General features: G+C 39.7%; 1 protein-coding gene and 1 long non-coding RNA gene across 39 annotated transcripts in view, besides 2 other annotated features; one reads left to right on the plus strand and one right to left on the minus strand.

Annotated features, from left to right (window-relative positions):
* Positions 1-1,699: 1,699 nt before the first annotated feature.
* LOC101929431 (uncharacterized) lies at positions 1,700-13,402 on the minus strand. Its single transcript, NR_120660.1, has 3 exons — positions 12,959-13,402; positions 6,778-9,463; positions 1,700-3,434 (listed from the first exon to the last, which is right to left on the minus strand). It is a non-coding gene; the product is annotated as an uncharacterized LOC101929431 (long non-coding RNA).
* Positions 10,670-19,699, plus strand: part of CCDC7 (coiled-coil domain containing 7) — a 439,541-nt gene continuing 430,511 nt past the window's right edge. For 32 of the 38 annotated variants that reach the window (NR_109826.2, NM_001395015.1, XM_011519667.1 and 29 more), the window contains exons 1-2: positions 13,486-13,743; positions 18,938-19,267. Coding sequence is in view for 36 of the 38 variants with exons in the window: in NM_001395015.1 (NP_001381944.1) it covers positions 18,989-19,267 (279 nt within the window). In the remaining 2 variants the exon portion in view is untranslated. Of the gene's footprint in view, positions 10,789-13,485; positions 14,514-18,937; positions 19,268-19,699 lie in introns of those variants that run through there. The other 6 variants (NR_109827.2, NM_001321115.2, NM_145023.6 and 3 more) reach the window with 4 other exon arrangements.
* Positions 13,037-13,356: an enhancer, noted in NCBI's record as "active region_3248". NCBI's record gives its function as "activates an Ori minimal core promoter by ATAC-STARR-seq in GM12878 lymphoblastoid cells {active_cell/tissue: GM12878}" and the evidence as "EXISTENCE:reporter gene assay evidence [ECO:0000049][PMID:35858748]".
* Positions 13,427-13,656: a silencer, noted in NCBI's record as "silent region_2289". NCBI's record gives its function as "represses an Ori minimal core promoter by ATAC-STARR-seq in GM12878 lymphoblastoid cells {active_cell/tissue: GM12878}" and the evidence as "EXISTENCE:reporter gene assay evidence [ECO:0000049][PMID:35858748]".

Below are 19,699 nucleotides of genomic sequence, written 5' to 3' on the forward strand. Positions count from 1 at the left end.
CTCCTGAGTGGCTGGGGCTACAGGCATGTGCCACCACACCTGGCTAATTTTTGTATTTTTTTGTAGAGATGGAGTTTCGCCATGTTGCCCAGGCTGGTCTCGAACTCCTGAGTTCAAACGATCCTCCTGCCTTGGCCTCCCAAAGTGCTGTGCTTACATTACAGGTGTGAGCCACCATGCCCGGCCTGATCATATAGTTTTTGCCCTTTATTCTGCTAATATAGTGAATCATGTTGATTGATTTGTGTTTGTTGAACCAATCTTGCATCCCAGAGATCAATCCCACTGAATTATTGTGAATGATACTTTGAATGTCCTGCTGAATATGGTTAGCTAGTATTTTGTTGAGGATTTTTGCATCTATGTTCATCAGTGATATTGGCCTGTCGTTTTCTTTTCTTGTATATACCCATGTAACCACCATCCCTACTAAAATACAGATATACCTCAGAGATGTTATAGGTTTAGTTCCAGACCACTGCAAAGAAGTGAACATTGCAATGATTTTTTGATTTTCCATTGCATATAAAAGTTATGTTTGAACTATATTTTAGTCATTAAGTGTGCAATCACATTATGTCTAAAAAACCATTTTACATACCTTAACTGAAAATACTTGGCCAGGTGTGGTGGCTCATGCCTGTAATTCCAGAACTTTGGGAGGCTGAGGTGGGTGGATCACTTGAGGCTAGGAGTTCAAGACCAGCCTGGTCAACATGGTGAAACCCTGTCTCTACTAAAAATACAAAAATTAGCTGGGTGTGGTGGTGAGCACCTGTAATCCCAGCTACTCAGGAGGCTGAGGCAGGAGACTTGCCTGAACCCAGGAGGCTCTCAGAGGTTGCAGTGAGCAGAGATTGCCCCACTGCACTCCAGCCTGGGTGACACAGCAAGACCCCATCTCAAAAAAAAAAAAAAAAAGAAAAGAAAATACTTTATTGCTACAAATGCAAATGATCATTTTGACCTTCAGTGAGTTGTAATCTTTTTGCTCGTGGAGGATCTTTTCTCAATATTAATGACAACTGACTGATCAGTGTGGTGGCAGCTGAAGGTTGGGGTGGCTGTGGAAATTTCTTATGATAACACCATAACAATGAAGTTTGCCACATCAATTGACTCTTTCTTTCATGAAAGATTTTTCTGCAGCACATGATGCTGTTTGATAGCATTTTACACACACTAGAACTTCTTTTAAGTTTGGAGTCAATCCTCTCAAACTCTGCTGCTGCTTTATCAGCTAAATTTGTGTGATATTCTAAATCCTTGGTTTTGATTTCAACAATGTGCATAGGATCTCCACCAGGAGTAGATTTCATGTTAAGAAACCACTTTCTTTGCTTATCCATAAGAAGTAACTCCTCATTTGTTCCAATTTGATCATTGCAGCAATTCATTGTCATCTACAGGCTCCATTTCTAATTCTGGTTCTTTTGCTATTTCCACCACATCTACAGTTACTCCTCCACTGAAGTTTTGAACCCTTGCAAGTCATCTATGAGGGTTGGAATCAACAATTTCCAAACTCCTGTCAGGGTTGGTATTTTGCCTCCACCTATGAATCACAAATATTCTTACTGGCATCTAGAATGGTGAATCCTTTCCAGAAGGTTTTCAATATAGCTCAATATAGCTCTCCCTGATCCATGAGAAGAATCACCATCTATGGCAGCGATAGGCGATAGTCTTACAAAATGTGTTTTTTTTTTTTTTTTTGAGATGGAGTTTCACAGTTTCACTCTTGCTGCCCAGGCTGGAGTGCAATGGTGTGATCTTGGCTCACTGCAACCTCACCTCCCAGGTTCAAGCAATTCTCCTGCCTCAGCCTCCCAAGTAGCTGGGATTACAGGCATGTGCCACCATGCCTGGCTAATTTTGTATTTTTAGTAGAGACAGGGTTTCTCCATGTTGGTCAGGCTGGTCTTGAACTCCCGACCTCAGGTGATCTGCCTGCCTTGGCCTCCAAAAGTGGTGGGATTATAGGCGTGAGCCACTGCGCCTGGCCCAAAATGTGTTTCTTAAATAATAGGACTTAAAAGTCAAAATGACTATTTGTTCCATGGGCTGAAGAATGGATGCTGCGTTAGCAGGCATAAAAATATTAATCTCCTTGTATATCTCACCAGAGCTCTTGGGTGACCAGGTACATTGTCAATAGCAGTAATATTTTGAAAGAAATCTTTTTTTTTCTGAGCAGTAGGTCTCAACAGTGGGCTTAAAATATTCAGTGAGGTATATTACAAACAGAAATGCTGTCATCTAGAATTTGTTGTTCTATTTTTGGAGCATAGGCAGAATACATTTAGAATAATTCTTAAGTGTCGTAACATTTTCAGAATGGTACGTGAGCAATGGCTTCAACTTAAAGTACCAGCTGCATGAGCCCCTAACGGAAAAGTCAGTCTGTGCTTTGAGTCTTTGAAGCCAGGCATTGACTTCTACTCTCTAGCTATGAAAGTCCCAGATGGCATTTTCTTTCAATAGAAGACTGTTTAGTTTATACTGGAAAGCTATTGTTGGCTGACCATGGTGGCTCACACCTGTATTTGTTGCACTTTGGGAGGCTGAGGCTGGAGGATTGCATGAGCCTAGGAGTTTGAGACCAGCCTGGGCAACATAGTGAGATCTTGTCTCTATTAAAAATAAAAAAAAGAAAAATTCACCAGTCATGGTGGCATGTACCTGTAGTCCCACCTACTTGTGAGGATGAGGCAGTGGGGTCACTTGAGTCTGGGAGTTCAAGGCTGCAATTGTACTATAATCACACCACTGTACTCCAACCTGGGTGACAGAGCAAGACCCTGTCTCAAAAGAAAAAAAGAAAGTAAAAAAGAAAAAGAAAAGAAAAGCCTCTGTTTTATGTAATTGCCTTCATCAGTTCTTACCTAGATCTTTCAGATAACTTGCTGTAGCTTCTACATCAACACTTCCTTCTTGACCTGTTACGTTATAGCGATGGCTTTTTTCCTTAAACCTCATGAACCAAACTCTACTAGCTTCCAACTTTTCTTCTGCAGCTTTCTCACCTCTCTTAGTCTTCATAGAATTGAAGAGAGTTAGGGCCCTCTGGATTAGGCTTTTGCTTAAGGGAATGTTGTGGCTGGTTTGATCTTCTACCCAAACGACTCAAACTTTCTCTGTACCAGCAATAAGGCTGTTTTGCTTTCTTATCAATTGTGTTTACTAGAGTAGCACTTAATTTACTTCAATAATTTTTCCTTTGCTTTAACAACTTGGCCTTTTGGTGCAAGAGGACTTGCTTTCAGTCTGTTTCAGCTTCAAACATGCCTTCCTCAGTCAGCTTAATCATTTCTAGCTTTTGATTTAAAGCGAGAGGCACACGATTCTTTCTTCCACTTGCACAATTACAGACCATTGTAGGGTTATTAATTGGCCCTATTTCAATATTGTTGTGTCTCAGGGAATAGGAAGACCTGAAGGATAGAAGAGAAATGGAGTAATGGCCAGTTAGTGAAGCAGTCAGAACACAGAACATCGATCAATTAACTTCACTGTCTTACATGGGTGTGGTTTGCAGTGCCCCAAAACAATTACAATAGTAACATCAAAGACCAATGATCACAGGTCACCATAACAGATATAATAATAATGAACAAGACTGAAATATTGTAAGAGTTGCCAAAATGTGACACAGAGACATGAAGTGTGCACATGCTGTTGGGAAAATGGTGCTGATTAACTTGCTTGATGCAAGCTTGCCACAAACCCTCCACTTGTAAAAAAGTGCAGTATCTTCAAAGTGCAATAAAGCAAGTGCAATAAATGAGCTATGCCTGTATAAAACAAACACCCTAGAAAATGGCCTGGCAGCTTTTTACAAAAAGTCAAATATATACCTACTATACACCTGAGCAAATGAGTCCCAAGCATTCACCCACTGAATAATTTTAAGCAGAGTATGATCATGTGGAGATTTTTTGTATTTTTAATTAAAAAATTAACGTGCAGTAAAATGGACTTTTTGCTGTACAGTTATATGAATTTTAACACATGCATGAAATATAACCAACATGAATCTGGATACAGAACAGTGCCATAACCCCCCCAAACTTCCTCGTTCTATCCTTTTATAGTCACACTCTCTCCCACCTCCAATCCCTGGAAGATACTGATTAGTTCTTCATTACCACAGTTTTGTATTTTTGAGAACGTCATGTCAATGCAATCATATAGTATGTAACCTTTTGAGACTGGGTCCTTTCACTCAGTGTAATGCCTTTGAGTTTCATCCAAATTGTTCTGCATATCAAAAATTCATTCCTTTTTTTATTGCACAGTATTCCATTGTAATAATATACCATAGTTTACTTATTCATCTGTTGATGCACATTTTTAAAAATTTGAAAGCTGTCCAGTTTATCAATTTTCAGATGGTTAGTAATTTTTGTCTTGTCAAAAAAAAGTTGCCTATGCCGAGGTCATTAATATATTCACCTATGTTTTCTTTACACTTTTTGCTTTCATAGCTTTATGTTTTTTTGTTTTTATGGCTAGGTCTGTGTTGATTTGGGTCCTCCAGGATGCATATGCCAAATGGAGTTATAAGTGAAGGAGATTTATAATTGTGAAAGTTAAAGGAAAGAGAGTAGGAGTGGCAGAGAAAGCTTTCAGGCTGTGATACCAGTCTGATACCTGTGAAAAGAGTGGGGAAAAGAAAGAGGACTATATAAAAGAGCATCAAACTGTGGGGGTAGCTCTGGGAATGTATTAGAAAGCCCAGTGATCTCAAAAACAAATATTGTTCACAGAGGAGTCTCACACTGGCCAGAAACAGCAAATCTTTACATCATTGCATGCTCAGTCATCAGCTGGAGGATGCCCAGGAGGCAAGTGGCCTCAGCTCAAAAGTTATTAATAAGACAAATCCTGAAGACATCCATAGCTGGTTTTCACTAGTCTACATTCTTTGCTGCAGGTTCCTTCTTGAAGAGAGTTGTAAGTGGCATGTTTTCGTGTCTGCTACAGTCCCCTCTTTGCTTTACATGTATTTGTCCTTACACATTTGGAGTGCAGCTCCTCTATAGCTTTTGTCGACTTCAGGCCAGGTTTGCTGTACTTGCTTATTCACAGTCACATTGGGCAAGGAAGTACCAAGAGGCACTCAAGTGGATCACCTGAATTTCACACATATTCCTCTCCACCACCATTGTCTAACATTATCTCTACCTCATCCTGCTCGTCAGTGTCATCTAGACTACCAAGACTGTGACTCCTTCTCACAGCCTTGTGGTTCCTGGAAACGAAAAGTTCAGAGTGCCCATGTGGCAGCTGTAGCTTGTAGTTCAGTAGGAGGCTTGTTATGCCTCTTTTGGGAACCAAAATGTCTAAGTTTTTGAGGTCCAGGATTGCAGGAAGAGATGTACAAATCTCCTTAGTGGTTATTGGGAGTGATGCTAGCTAAATATTTCCTGCTTTCATCCTTTGGTTTCCAGATCCGTGTATTTCACTGGCTCTTCCAGGATGGAAGGGACTCAACATAATCAACCTGCCATCAAATGGACAAGTGGTCTCTTGAAGGAATAGTGTCATACAAGAATACTGGTTTCTGCTGCTGCCATGGAGGACATTCAGAGGCAACAGTAGCTAGACTGACCTTGGTGAGAGGGAGTCCATGCTTTTGGTCTCAGGTGTAGCCTCTATCTCTGTTACTATGACCACTTCTTTCATGTGGCTATGTGGTCTGGGGTGGCTGAAGACAAAGGTTGGCTAACATTAGCAGGCTGAATTATTTTGTCCATAAAGTTGTTCTGTGCTTCTTCTGTGGTGGATGCCATCTGATAGGAAATTACATATGATATGAAAAATTTCATATGTTTAGCCATAGGCACCACATGCCTCTACCTAAGATCTCCTTGTCTCTGACCTTTCAGTCCATTTCCTTCTAAGCCCTTGATTAGCAGGACAAGCCACTTGCCACCACCCATGAGTCCATATATAGTCCATATATGTCTCACCTTGAGCCACTTCTTTCACACAAAGTGAGTGAGCAGAGACATTGCTCACAGCTTCTCAGGAACAATTTCCCTCAACACTTGTTCAAGACTGTCCCCCATTGTGTCTATAATGCAGCCACCATCTATTTTTGCCTTGCGCTGTTATACCTAGACAGCCTATCTGGAAACTAACCTCTTAATTTTCCCCTTTCTTCAACTAGTAGTACAGGACTCCCATAAAGCCATAGATGTGAGCTGAGGGGAGGGGCCCTGGCGCAACTGTGGTGGGTGACATGGAGGTACAGGCTACCTCCTCATGTAGATTATGCCTACCTTCTACTCCTGTTCAGGTTTAATCCCAGATGCACTTTTTACATCTTATGATGAACTGATGCTTCGTTCACTCATCTTTATAACTTGATAGATCTGACAGAACCAAGTTCATAATGGGCACTTTTTTTTTTTTTTTGAGACAGAGTCTTGCTCTGTTGCCCAGGCTGGAGTGCAGTGGTGCTGTCTTGGCTCACTGCAAGCTCCGCCTCCCAGGTTCACGCCATTCTCCTGCATCAGCCTCCCAAGTAGCTGGGACTAAAGGCGTGTGCCACCACGCCTGGCTAATTTTTTCGTATTTTTAGTAGAGATGGGGTTTCACCGTGTTAGCCAGGATGGTCTCGATCTCCTGACCTCGTGATCTGCCTGCCTCGGCCTCCCAAAGTGCTGGGATTACAGGCGTGAGCCATGGCACCTGGCCCATAATGGGCACTTTTTGACAAATACATTCTAAAGGGTGGCAAATAAACTCTTCTAAGATTCTGGGACTCACCTCTTCAGTAAATACTTCAGAGATCTGACGATCAAAGGCATGTAGAGACATCCTCTTTAAAAAATGTCTTTTTTGGTTGTTGTTGCATCTTCTCCTGCTACAGTGTTTCTCAACCTTTTTGTTGTTAATGCCCTGGTAAGGAAGTTTTTTAGACATTTTACCCCTAATTACCTCTCCATCATGAAATATTGATAGCACAGATGTACTGTATATTTGTTTAGGTAGTGTGACCTTTGGAAGACTACAGGACCACATAAACCATTAAATACCAATTTTTGCCCCCTTGGGGGTGATATTATTCCTAGTAAGAATCCATGTCCTACTACAAAGAAGGAAGTATAATGTCATGGGTCTCTTTGGGTTGTGGAAGCAATACATTCTGTATCTCCAAATGCTAATCCAGCAGATAAAATGTGACATGGAATGCTGCCAGGTTTGAATGGGGCTTAGGACAGAAAATGTAGCAGGTCCAGGTTGTGATGTAAGTAAGCTGTACTGCTGCTTTGAGCAAAACAAGCTGCCATTCTCTGTGATTTTGTGTCAGTGAAGGAAAAGGATGCAGTGTGGAGATTATGGCAAGCCCAACTAGGAAAATAAAAAATTTAAGGAGGTGCTCACTCTCAGGTTTTGCAAGTGCAGGCTCAGCACCTAACAGTGAGTGCTTAGATTTTTCATAGGAGATGCCCTGCTTGCCTCACCAAAGTCCTGTCTCTGTCCCTGTGGGTCAAGCTTTCTGGACCACCCCTGACCTTGTTGGTTGTTAAGGTAACTCAAGTTACTCCTATATTTTGTTCTAGAACCTTTATAGATTTAGGTTTTACATTTGGGTCTATGTGTGAATATATTTATGGAGGTGTTGGGAGATAATTCTCCATAGATCTTCTGTTTTTGCATATCTTCTGAGCAATTGTATTCGTAGCTTTTTTCTAGACTGTCTTTTCAAGAATGTCTGTATAGCAAACAGCTTTGGAAAATATAGTGTCTCCCTTTGGGGAAGAAGGCAGGTTTGTTGGCTGTTCATGATAATAAAGACAATGTCTTCCACTGGAAAAAGGTTGAAAAGGTTTTCTAGCAAGGGTTTTAGAAAATATTGGGGTTTCCTAAATAGGGTTGCTCTTGGGTAATGCAACTCACTGAGTGTGCTCTGTGGGAATCAGGGCTTGAAGAACTAGCACAAATGTTGTTACTCTGATTACTGCTATTGCTCTGATTAATAAATTGTTCTTTATCCCTGGCCCAGGAATCTCATATCTCCTGCCAGTGTCTATGAATTTGTGCCATGCTAACTTGTTTTCTAGCAAGGTAAAATTACAGACTCTTACTATTCTTACCATTTTTGGTAATAAAGATGGAATACTGACAAGACATGGCTTTCTGGAATAAGAAAGACAAGAGCCTTCCAATAGTTCAGTGATAATTTGAGGGAAGTCTGTAGGATTTAGTAGCAGCCATATTATTCAAACTGTCTAGTCAATCAAGCAATAAGTGATCCTCCCCTCTTTCATTCTCTGCTACCAAGGAGGAACTAGGGAGATGGCTGCAGGCTGAGTACTGGAAAATAGGTTCATTGAGGTGGGGGCAGGAGGGTCGATCTGATGGTCAGTGTCACTCCCATCCCATTGTAACAACGAGAACTAAGATCCATTCTGGGTTAGAGTAAGGTTCTGATCCTTTTCAGAAAATAGTTACGGAGATATGCACCTCTAAATGCAAAAGGAGAGGATTTGGGACTGCTATGGACAGAAATTTTGCAAATCTTAAGAACTTTGGCTTGTTAGCTTGGGAGATGAGGGAGAGAGGTGCACAATGTTTGTTAAGGAGGAATGGCAACAGCAATGGCAACCTCTTATAGCTCAACTCCTCCTGAATTCTATCAGGCCAATATTAGATCTTTTTGAAGATGACAGTACGAGTTTTCTTGGAGTAGGCGCTGGCTGCTGTAAGTGTACCTGGCCCTCTCAGTAAGAGATTCCTGAGACAGAGAACCTGCCACGGGAAACCAGAGATGAAGCAATGTCTAGTATTCAGGCCCTTACTATCCTGCTTTGGGTTGATACTCTCCACCTAGTCCCCTGACACTGACCCATAAAAGCCACAAGTGAGGGACATAATGGGTTTTTATATGTTTTATAAAAATTCCCTTGTCACTCTTGCTCTTGACTGACTGTTCCAGATGAAAATTTTAGGTGAGATTAGAAGCATGATTGGAAAGAGGTTATAGTTACTAGAATGGGACACATTAATTTTGTGGCAGTGTTAGAGAGAGAGAGACAGAGAGAGAGAGACTGAGACCTAAGCACTTGGAAAGGCACTGGGGGATAAAGGGACATTAGTATTAATATTCTTTTGTCTTTTAGAACTGATCCTGGAGCTTTCCCTCACAAAGGAAAATGCCCTGCTGCAGCTTTTGCAAACTGTTTCAAGTCCTTGAATTTAACTGATTCCTGGGTCTGTTATCCTCTGTTAGATGGCTTTGACCACAATTTGATTACTATTCTCTTATTCTTTCTGAGAAGTCTATTAGAAACAGCAGTGAATGGTCTCAGCTTCTTCATTTTCCATGCAAAAACTTGTCAACAGCTTGTATGTATTGCCTGTAGATAGTCCCATAGCTGTCACTTAGGTATTTTGTGGTGGTGGATGAAACAGGATAGGAAAGATTGGACTGACTTCCATCATGTGGTACCTACAAAAACAAGGATGCTCAATTATTCAAACTGAACTGGGAATCCTAAGGTGTATTGTTGATTGGGAGGCCATGTTGGAGGCATGGTCAACCTGTGCCTCATGAGTAATATGAGTGCCATTTTGGTGGAGGTAGGGGGAAAGGGGATACCCAATAAATGCAAACAAGACTTTATTTCCAGGGCACTCAATGCTCCCTGACTATACTTCTTGTAATGTATACCTCCAATTTTGTTTTTCTTTTAAAAAGTCATTCTGGCTATTGCAGATCCTTCCTATTTCCAAATGAACTTTAGCGTCAGGTTGCAAATTGCTTCACAAAAGCCTGATGGTAGTTTCAATGGAATTGCATTGGATTTATAGATCAATTTGGGGAGAACTGACATCCTAACATTATTAAATCTTCTGATTCATGAACACAGTGTATCTTCATTTATTTAGGTCTTTTTATTTTCTCTCAGCAATTTTTTGTAGTTATCACTGTAACTTTTTATCTTATTGAGTGCTGGAAGGTTTTGTATGCCTATAAATATTCTTGAGCTGTGTTTTGGGTCTCAGCTAAGTTACTGGAAACATTCAATCCTTTCAGATCTTACTTTTAAGCTTTGTTTGACAGGTCCAGAGGAGTGTTTAGTGTAAGACTGTTTTTGAACCCTTCCTGAGGCAAAACCCTTTTGAGCACTTTACTCACTGCCCCTTAAATTATAAAACTTTTGACTCTAGCTGGTGGTAACATGAAATATTCTGAGCACTGAGTATCATATCCTATCATGGCACTGAGTGTCATATCCTATCATGCTTCCACGTGGTTCTTTCCCTGGCCATGGATAGTTTTCATACATGTATACAGTGATCATTACCCAGTTGAAGACTAAAGGGGTCCCCTGAAGATTTATGGAGCTCTCTTTGTTCTTTAATTTCTTCTCTCGGATTCTCTCCTTTGAACTCTAGCTTCCTTGGCCTTCCTGGACACCTCCTTCCCTCAACTCAGAGACCGCTAGAAGCTGCCTGGGTTTTCTGTTCTTTGTATCATGACTTGGAACCACCTGTCTTCAGGGAGTAAGCTTAGGAAATAATAGGGATCATCTTAAATTTGTTTCCTGTTATGCAGGGGTCATTATCATTATCTGATAACCGAGGTATAAAAATTCATTGTTTCATATATTTTGTCTGATTCTTTACTTATTCCAGACAGGAGGATAAACCCAGTTGCTGTTACTCCATCTTGGCTGGAAGCAGAACCCTTCACATAAACCCAGTTGCTGTTACTCCATCTTGGCTGGAAGCAGAACCCTTCACATTATCCCTTGAAGGATAATATGTATGGTATGTGTCCATGGCACAAAGTCTATGATTTAATTTAAATTAACTTTCAGGTATGGCACGAGGCAGGGGTCATGGATAATTTTTTTTCTCTCAATGATATCAGCTTTCATTTTCATTGTTGGAAAGATTTTTCTTTCCCCATTGAAGTGCACTGGCACTGTTTAAAATCAATTGACTTTATATATGTGGATATATTTCTTAACCCTCTATTTGTTCCATTTTTGTCTAACTTCGTGTAATATACTATTTTACTATAACTTTATAACTCTTGAAAACCTGTAGTATATGTCATTTAAATATTTGCTTATTTTTTTCAAGATTGTTTTGGCTCTAGCCTTTTTCATTTCCATATAAATTGCAAAATTATTTTCCCAATTTCTAGAAAATAATCTTCTTGGATTTTGATCATAAACGCATTTAATGTGTAGATAAATATTGATAGACATAGACTTAAAAAGTTGACATTTTAGCAATATTGGGTCTTCTAATCCATTAATATGGTACATAATCTCCATTAATTTGGATCTTCTTTAATTTCTCTCAGTAATGTTATATAGTTTTCATTGTAGATGTCTGGAAATTGTATGTTGTCTGGGAATACAGCTTTATTTCTTTCATTGAAATCATTATGCCTTTATTTCTTTTTCTTGCCTTATTGCACTTGTTAAGACCTCCAGTATAATACTGAATAGACATAGTGAGAGCAAATATCCTTGCCTCCTTCCAATCTTAAGGAAAAATCAATTTTTCACTATTGAAAATGATGTTAGCTGGAGATAGTTCACAGATGTCCTTCATCAGATGAAAAAGTTCCTCTCTATTCATAAGTATTGTTTGTTTTCAAAGAATAATCGATTCATGTCACAGACTCAAACCACTGCAAAATTTGATATTACATGCTTAAATTTATTAACTTTTTAAACTTCTTTGCTTTACATTGTCAGCACTGATAACTTTTCTGTGGTTCTTAGCTGTGCTATTAAGGCCACAGATATGAATGGTGAACTTTTGGCTAGACTCATGCTGAGAGTTTTGCTAATGTATGCTAACTTGACAACTTGACCGTTAAGATTTTACCAACAAAATTAGAAATGACTAGATGTAATCTATTTTCAGGGTTCTAGAAAATAACTGAAATTGGCTTTGTCAAATCTAAGGTCTTCTTTAATCTCTCCTGACTTTTAGTTCTATCTTTCCTATCCCTTTCATTTACAACGGTTTTGGGAGATTTGGAATTTAGCAATTCAATTCTTTCTAAACTACTTTCTTAATTTTATTGCCAACTTTAAAAAATAAAAAATTGTTGGTGGAAAGCTTAATAAATCTGATCATTTATATGTACATTTTCTTTGTTACTGACATAAAACACACATACTGAAAAGTGCATAAATAAGCATATGCCTTCATGTTTTTTTTTTTTTTTCTTTTTTAGATGGAGTCTCGCTCTGTTGCCCAGGCTGGAGCGCAATGGCACAATCTCGGCTCACTGCAACCTCCACCTCCTGGGTTCAAGTGATTCTCCTGCCTCAGCCTCCTAAGTAGCTGGGATTACAGGCACCCGCCATCACGCCCGGCTAATTTTTGTATTTTTAGTAGAGATGGGGTTTCACCATGTTGGCCAGGCTAGTCTCGAACTCCTGACCTCGAGTGATGCACTGCCTCAGGCTCCCAAAGTGCTGGGATTACAGGTGCGAGCCACCACGCCCAGCCTGCCTTCATGAATTTTTGAACACACCCAGAAAGAGCAGAAGACAGAACATTTCTGGTACACCAGAAGATGTGTTGTTTTCCCTTTCCAGGCAACCCCAATGGTAACTCCTAGTGGTGTGATGGAGCTAGCCTACACCAGCTCTTGGGAGCTGATAAATTTTCAGGAATCTCTTGTGAGGCATTCAGATTTTACTGGAAAATTAGAAATAATTAGATATAATGAATTTTCAGAGTTTTAGAAAATAGTTGAAATCTACTAAGTCAAATCTAAGGTCTCCTTTAAACCTCCTGGTTTTTAGTTTTAGTTCCATCTTTCCTATTCCTTTCATTTACACACAGGCATTATTAACAGTTAAATTGTATCAATTAATATTTTAAAATATTAAAAACATTTTACTTCGTTCAACTTAAAGACAAAATTAATATATTTCTTGAGGTCAAATTATCTAAAAAACTCTACCTTGTAAAATTGCATCTTAAAGCAGTGCGTGGAAACTGATGGCAAGAAACCACTTAAGTGTCACAACTCTGCTTCAAGTTAATTCCTAGTCCATTTGATTTTGTTTTGCTTTTAAGATCACGAAGCTGGTGTACACTTCCGTGCGAGCTTAGAGTGGTAATGAACTCCACAATACACTGAAAAGAGCTTGAGGAGACAGCAGATGAAGGACTGGGGCTCTGGTTTTGTAGCTGAAGCCCAGGTTCTCAAAGGTCCTACCAGGCCTGTACTTTATTTCTCCTCCGCGGGCCTCTAGGCCAAATGCCTGGATGAATCTGCGCTCAGGGGGCGTCCTGGAATTACACTTGGGAGAGAATAAGAAAGGAGGAGGCCGATGTGCCCATGGACATTATTAACCTTCCGGCAAATCCCCACAGCCGCCAAACTGCGTCTCCTCTTCCGCTCTCGGCGCGCAGCTCACGCTCGCAGCGTCAGCGACGCCGGCGGCGCCAAGGCGTCGTGGCGTCGGGCGCCTGGGACGTGGCTTCAACGGCCCCATCCGGCGCCGGCGGCGGGTGCCCGGCGGTCTTTGCTGCCGCCCGGGGGCGCAGAGGCCGGGCCTTTTCTTTCAGCACAAACGTCAGTTTGTAAAAGGGAGGTGCTGGAGTCTGAGGAGTTTTCAGGCTTCCGTCTCGAAGGAAGTCTGGCAGGCTCGGAATTGTCATCTTCCTCAGGCAAATAGTTTTTCACCTTAGAGCCAGCAAGGCCAAACCGCCCAGTCACCCGACTTCCCACAGTCTCAGCAGGTACACAGGGCGGGGAGCCTCGGGAGCGGCTCCCTTAGCAGGACCTGAGGGTTTCGGGAGAGTCCTGGCTTTGCACTTAGTTTTCCCGCTGCCTGGCTGCCTCCGTGGCGGTTGTGCTGCTTTTTATGCAGGATGTAGGATCGAAGGCAAATCATCCTTTCCCTACGTCCCCTGCCAACCCCTGCCGCTCTCCTCTATTTTGTACACTTTATCATTAAAGGATTTGAAATGAATGTAAGTTAATCCTTGAAGGATGAAACCAGAAAACATTTGTCGTGGTGGCGGAAAGGGACGGATGCACTTGGGCGAAGTAATGCTGACATCCACTTCCTAGCATTGTTAGGAGGGATAAATGAATTAAATATGTAAAGTCCTTAAATATTTGCTTGCTAATACGAGTATTCATTGCGTGTGACTATTTTTGTATTTATGTGAACTTCATCGGAGCATTTGTCAGGTTCTTTTTTTTTGCACCAAGTGAGCGTTGCCTGCCTGCCTGCCTGCCTGCCTCCCTCCCTCCCTCCCTTCCTTCCTTCCCCTCTTCCCTTCCTCCCTCCCTCCCTCCCTCCCTCCCTCCCTCACACTTTTTTGGGGAGAGAGGACACAATGCAATCCATAACAGCATATACACTTGTTCTTTTTTCCATCGAACTTTCCTCTTGACCATGTTTTCTTCTAGTAATACTGTATTTCTTTACTCCCTTTTATAGTAAAATTTCTCTACAGTGCTTATATTCAATTCATTGTTCCTACTTCCTCTCTTTTGAACGGTAAGTCAGATATTTACCTCGATCATTCTACTGAAATTGTTGCCGTTCTTCAGGTTACAAATGACCTACCTCCATGTTGCCAAATCCAGTGTCAGCTTAGTCTTCATTTTACTTGACTCAGCATTTGACGTAGTTCATCACTCGGTCCTTGGTGATATTTTCTTTTCCTTGCTTTCTATGTATATATAACCTTTTGGTTTTACTTATTGGCTCATTGGCCACTCTTCTTACGTCCTGTTTCCTGGTCCTGATGGTTTTGATGGAATTTTTGATGTTTGCTTGGACCTGAAGGTTTTGATGGAGTTTCTTTGGCAATGTAATTTATTCAGAATTCTTTTGAGGCTTTTCAATTTTGTAAATTTAATCTTGGTTTCTGCATCATTTTGCTTGTATCATTAATTTTTACTGAAAGCATCGTGTCACAATCGGCATGAGAAAAATGTAAAAGGGAGCAGGGCGCACAGTGGCTCAGGCGTGTAATCCCAGCACTTTGGGAGGCTGAGGTGGGAGGATCACCTGAGGTCAGAAGTTCGAGACCAGCTTGGCCAACGTGGTGAAACCCTGTCACTATTAAAAATACAAAAATTAGCCGGACGTGGCAGTGGGCACCTGTAATCCCAGCTACTTGGGAGGCTGAGGCAGGAGAATCGCTTGAACCTGGGAGGCAAAGTTTGCAGTGAGCAAGATTGTGCCATTGTACTCCAGCCTGGGCGACAAGAGCGAAACTCTGTCTCAAAAAAACGAAAAATGTAAAAGGGAATATTTTGCAGGGGCTTTGGTTCAAGTTCTATAATGTGTTTATTTACTATTATCATCAGTAATTTCCAAGAGAGCATTGTGTTCTTCCTTCAAATGGATTTTTAGTGACAAGTTATTTTTGCAAAGTCATATTTGATTATGATTTAAAAATTATGCTTGGCAACTATGCATTCAGTTAACTATAGTGTTAACTATAGTGTTTCATCGAAACAAAAAAGCAGTTGTATAATTCTTGGATGAAATAAACATTTTCAGTGCTATTAAGATATTTTCGTTCTATTGTTCACAACCTAGTTTAGAATTTTTATTTTTGAGAATTTTCTGTTTGTGCTTGTCAGACATATTTAAGGGCATGTATCCCTGGCCCCATATATATTATATATTTTTAATTTTAATTTTTTATGAGTAGTCTCTTACACATATATATGATTCTTTTCCAGCGGGGTGTCATCTACTTGTTAAAATCCTAATAAATGTTCACATATTGAAATATCTGCATTTTGGAAATCCATAATTACATCAACAATTGTTATCTGCTGTCCATATGTCCAAAATAATTGAGAAATTATTAGTTTTTAAAACTTTATTCAAAGTGGTTTTATTTATAACATCTGTAAGTTTTATTATTTGTTTTTATATTTTATTCTCTAAAATAGTATGTTATACTATTTGGTATTGATATTTATGTTTTGCATAAATGTGCTAACAGGATACCATCAACTTTTGCCATGGTTTCTGGCAAATAAAAAAAATCCTATTATTGGTCTCTTCATATATATCGGATGATCTTCTGAACATTAGATACTGCTTCTCCAAAAATTGAATCATGTTTATTGTTATTAACAAATATATAGGCCTTTATTTTCTCATTTTCAGTAGAATTGCTAATTATTTATATTTTTTTCAAACCTGATACTAGCTTTTAATACTTATCACTATTGATGTGTATTTTATTAATGTTCAGGAATATGTGATAAATGCTGCTGATCTTTGCATTATTTTTTATTCTTCAGCTGGATTATTCCTCCACTGATTTTATTCTTTGCATCAGTTTTTATTCTTCAGCAGTATTATTTTGTGATTACTCGTGTTGTTTTATCTGTTATATTTTTCATTTTTTAATATCTTCACTTGGGTCTTAAAAATTCCTCTTATACCTGTTTCATATGGCTGATATTCTCTTTCTGTGTGTTTATGTATTTTTAGTCTCTCTGTTTTAATGATTCTACAACTAAAACATGTTTTTTAGTTTATTATTTTTATATTTATTTATTTATTTGAGATGGAGTCTTACTCCATCCCCCAGGCTGGAGTGCAGTGGTGCAGTCTCTGCTCACTGCAACCTCTACCTCCGAGTTCAAGCGATTCTCCTGCCTCAGCCTCCCGAGTAGCTGAGACTACAGGTGCCCACCACCACGCCTGGATAATTTTTTGTATTTTTAATAGAGACAGGGTTTTACCATATTGGCCAGGCTGGTCTCGAACTCCTGACCTTGGGATCCACCCGCCTCTGCCTCCCAAAGTACTGGGATTACAGGCGTGAGCCAATGCGCCTGGCCTATTTTTTATTTTTTAATGGTTTTTTTTTCCGTTGTCAAGTTGTTTTGGCCTGTGAGCTCATATACCCCTGGGGGTGTCCCCTGTTTGTCTGGTAATCTATTATTAGGAAATGATCAAAAGCCAGTTCTCAGCCTGTGTTCCTCCTGGAAGTTAGGGAAAGTATGTGGGTGTATTTGTTTTCGAAGTGCTAAATATTTCCTGTGGTCTGAATGCTTGTGTCATCCCCAAATTCGCATGTTGAAATTGGGACCCAATTCAACATATGGTAGAATTAGGAGGTGGGGCCTTTAGGAGGTGATTAGGTTATGAGTGCAGCACCCTCATAAATGGGACTACTGCCCTTATAAAAGAGGTCTGAAAAAGCTCCCTTGCTCCTTCCATCATGTGAGGACACAGAGAGTAGGCAACATTTATTTAGCGTCTGGGCTTTCATCAGACACCAACTCTGCTGGTGCCTTGTCGTTGGACTTTCCAATCTCCAGAACTGTGAGAAATAAATGTTTCTTGTTTATAAGCTATGCAATTTATAGTGTTTTGTTATAGCAGCCTCAACAGACTAAGACACTAGTGCTGCTGTAACAAAGTACCACAAAGTGGGTGGCTTAGAACAACAGAAATTTATTCTTTCATGGTTCTGGAGGCCAGAAAACTGAAATCAAGGTTTCAGCAAAACCATGTTCCCTGCTAAGGGCTCTAGGGAAGAATCTTTCATTGGTTTTTACAAGCTTCTGGTGGATGCTAGCAATCCTTGATATTCCTTAGCTTGCAGCTGCATCACTTTAATTTCTGCCTGTCGCTATATGGTCTTCTTATAGTGACACCAGTAATTGGATTTAGGACCCACCTTAATTCAGTATGACCACATCTTAACTTTGTCATATCTGCAAAGACCCTATTTTCAAGTAAGGTCACATTCAAAGTGCTGGGGGCTTAGGACTTGAACATATCTTTTTCAGGGACACAGTTCAACACATAACAATGGGACAAGCCAAAGTGTAGAGAGCTTCAGATAACAGAGTACCAGTGTTACATTACTCTATCTTAATTTTGCCATTGTACCTGACAATTCCCACGGTTAGGCATATACTCTTAACACTATTTGGGAGGTGGCATTGTCCTGAGTCTTAGCTTTGAGGGGAGAGAAAAATAGAGGAATAAAAGCCCAAGACCTATCTAGTTTATACTTCCTTATCTTAGCATAGCTTTGATGCTGCCTTAATATTACACTAATGATACCTTGGGCCAAGGCTACTGCTCCTGTGGGAATAAAGATGTATATTAAGGACATATATTAGCTCAAATATGGGGGAAAGATAGGAAGAAATTGTAATTTTTCTTTTTCCTGAATGTATTCTCTCGTTGCTTCTGGCTTCTTCAGTCCGTATATTCCCATTCTAAATGCCCCATAAACAAATGAGCCTTTGTTTAGGGGTTTCTTAAGTTAAAAAATTTTTTGTTCTTGTTGTTTTCTGTTGTTAGGAATATTTTCCTTTCTATTTTTCATTTTTTCAGAGTTGATTTTGGGATTTGCCATCTTCATAGCAATTGATAATCCTTTTATCATTTTAAATCTGAAATGTTTTCATCTACAACCCTCCTTACTTGCAGGAAATGCTATAAGTCCTATAGGTAAAATAATCCAACATTTTCCTTATGGAGAGCAAAGGGTATAGAAAAGAAGCAAGATTTGTAGCCAATTTGACCTATGTTGTAATTCTGAAAAATTTAACACTTACTAGCTGTGTGACTCTTGGTTAGTCACTTAACTTGTCTGAGCTCAGTTTACTCTACTCCCATGTAAAATGGAATAATGATGTATATAAAGGGCATACCTTAGATTAAAAATTATGGAGCTTTTACTGTTATTATGCTTAAGTTTAAATAACTTATTGATATAAATTAGATATTGTGATAACTGCATTCTATATTTCTTCGTTTTGTTTAAGTTACTGTGACTCAAAAAAGCCTGAAGTGTAATCATAGCTTCCAGAAGTTGCTTAATGTACTCTGAGCAAATTGCTAAAGCCATCAGAAAAAGAGAAATGTAGTATGTGAATTTAATTAGAGCCTGGTGTTTTCTCTGAATCTCTTATTTTTTTTCACAGGGAGGAATAAGTTTTTTTCATCTGTAATTTGGAAGCCAAGTCAGTAACAAAATGAAACCAGTAAAGCATCTGTTGACCACCAGTAACAAATCGGCAAATGTTCCAGCATTAACTACTAAAAAAGGACTACATAATTTACCATTATCACCTGAGCTAAAGGAAAAACATAATGCAAAATTAATTCATGATAAAATTGAACCAATGGTCCTAAGATCTCCACCAACAGGAGAATCCATTTTACGGTATGCTTTGCCCATTCCATCGAGTAAGACAAAGAACTTACTACCAGAAGATGAAATGATCGGAAAAATTATCAAACATCTGAAGATGGTAAGAGGCTTGTTAGTTTCTGTGTTGCAGGGCCCCCATGATCACCCCAGGTTTAGTGATGTGCTAGGAGGACTCACATGACTCCACATATAGTCATACCGATGGCTAAGATTTATTACAGTAGGCACATGAGGTGAAATTAGGAGAAAACCAGATCTAAGCTTGCAAGAGTCTTTTCCCTTTAGAGTCACCCAGGAGATGCTTAATTTCTTTAGCAATGAATTGTGACAACACATATGAAATGTCTGCCAGGGAAAATCATTAGAAACTCAGTGCCCTGGGATTTATTGGGGGTTGTTTACTATTCACTCTGTGCTTAGCATGTACGAAAATTTCAGACTCTCACAAGGAAAGGAGGTTCAGTATAAACAATGTTATACAAACAGTTTAGGGACAGTGAGCTGCTTCTATCAGTGAATGGGGAGAACCCTC

This window comes from Homo sapiens, chromosome 10 (assembly GCF_000001405.40).
Source record: "Homo sapiens chromosome 10, GRCh38.p14 Primary Assembly".
Classification (NCBI taxonomy): Eukaryota; Metazoa; Chordata; class Mammalia; order Primates; family Hominidae; genus Homo; species Homo sapiens.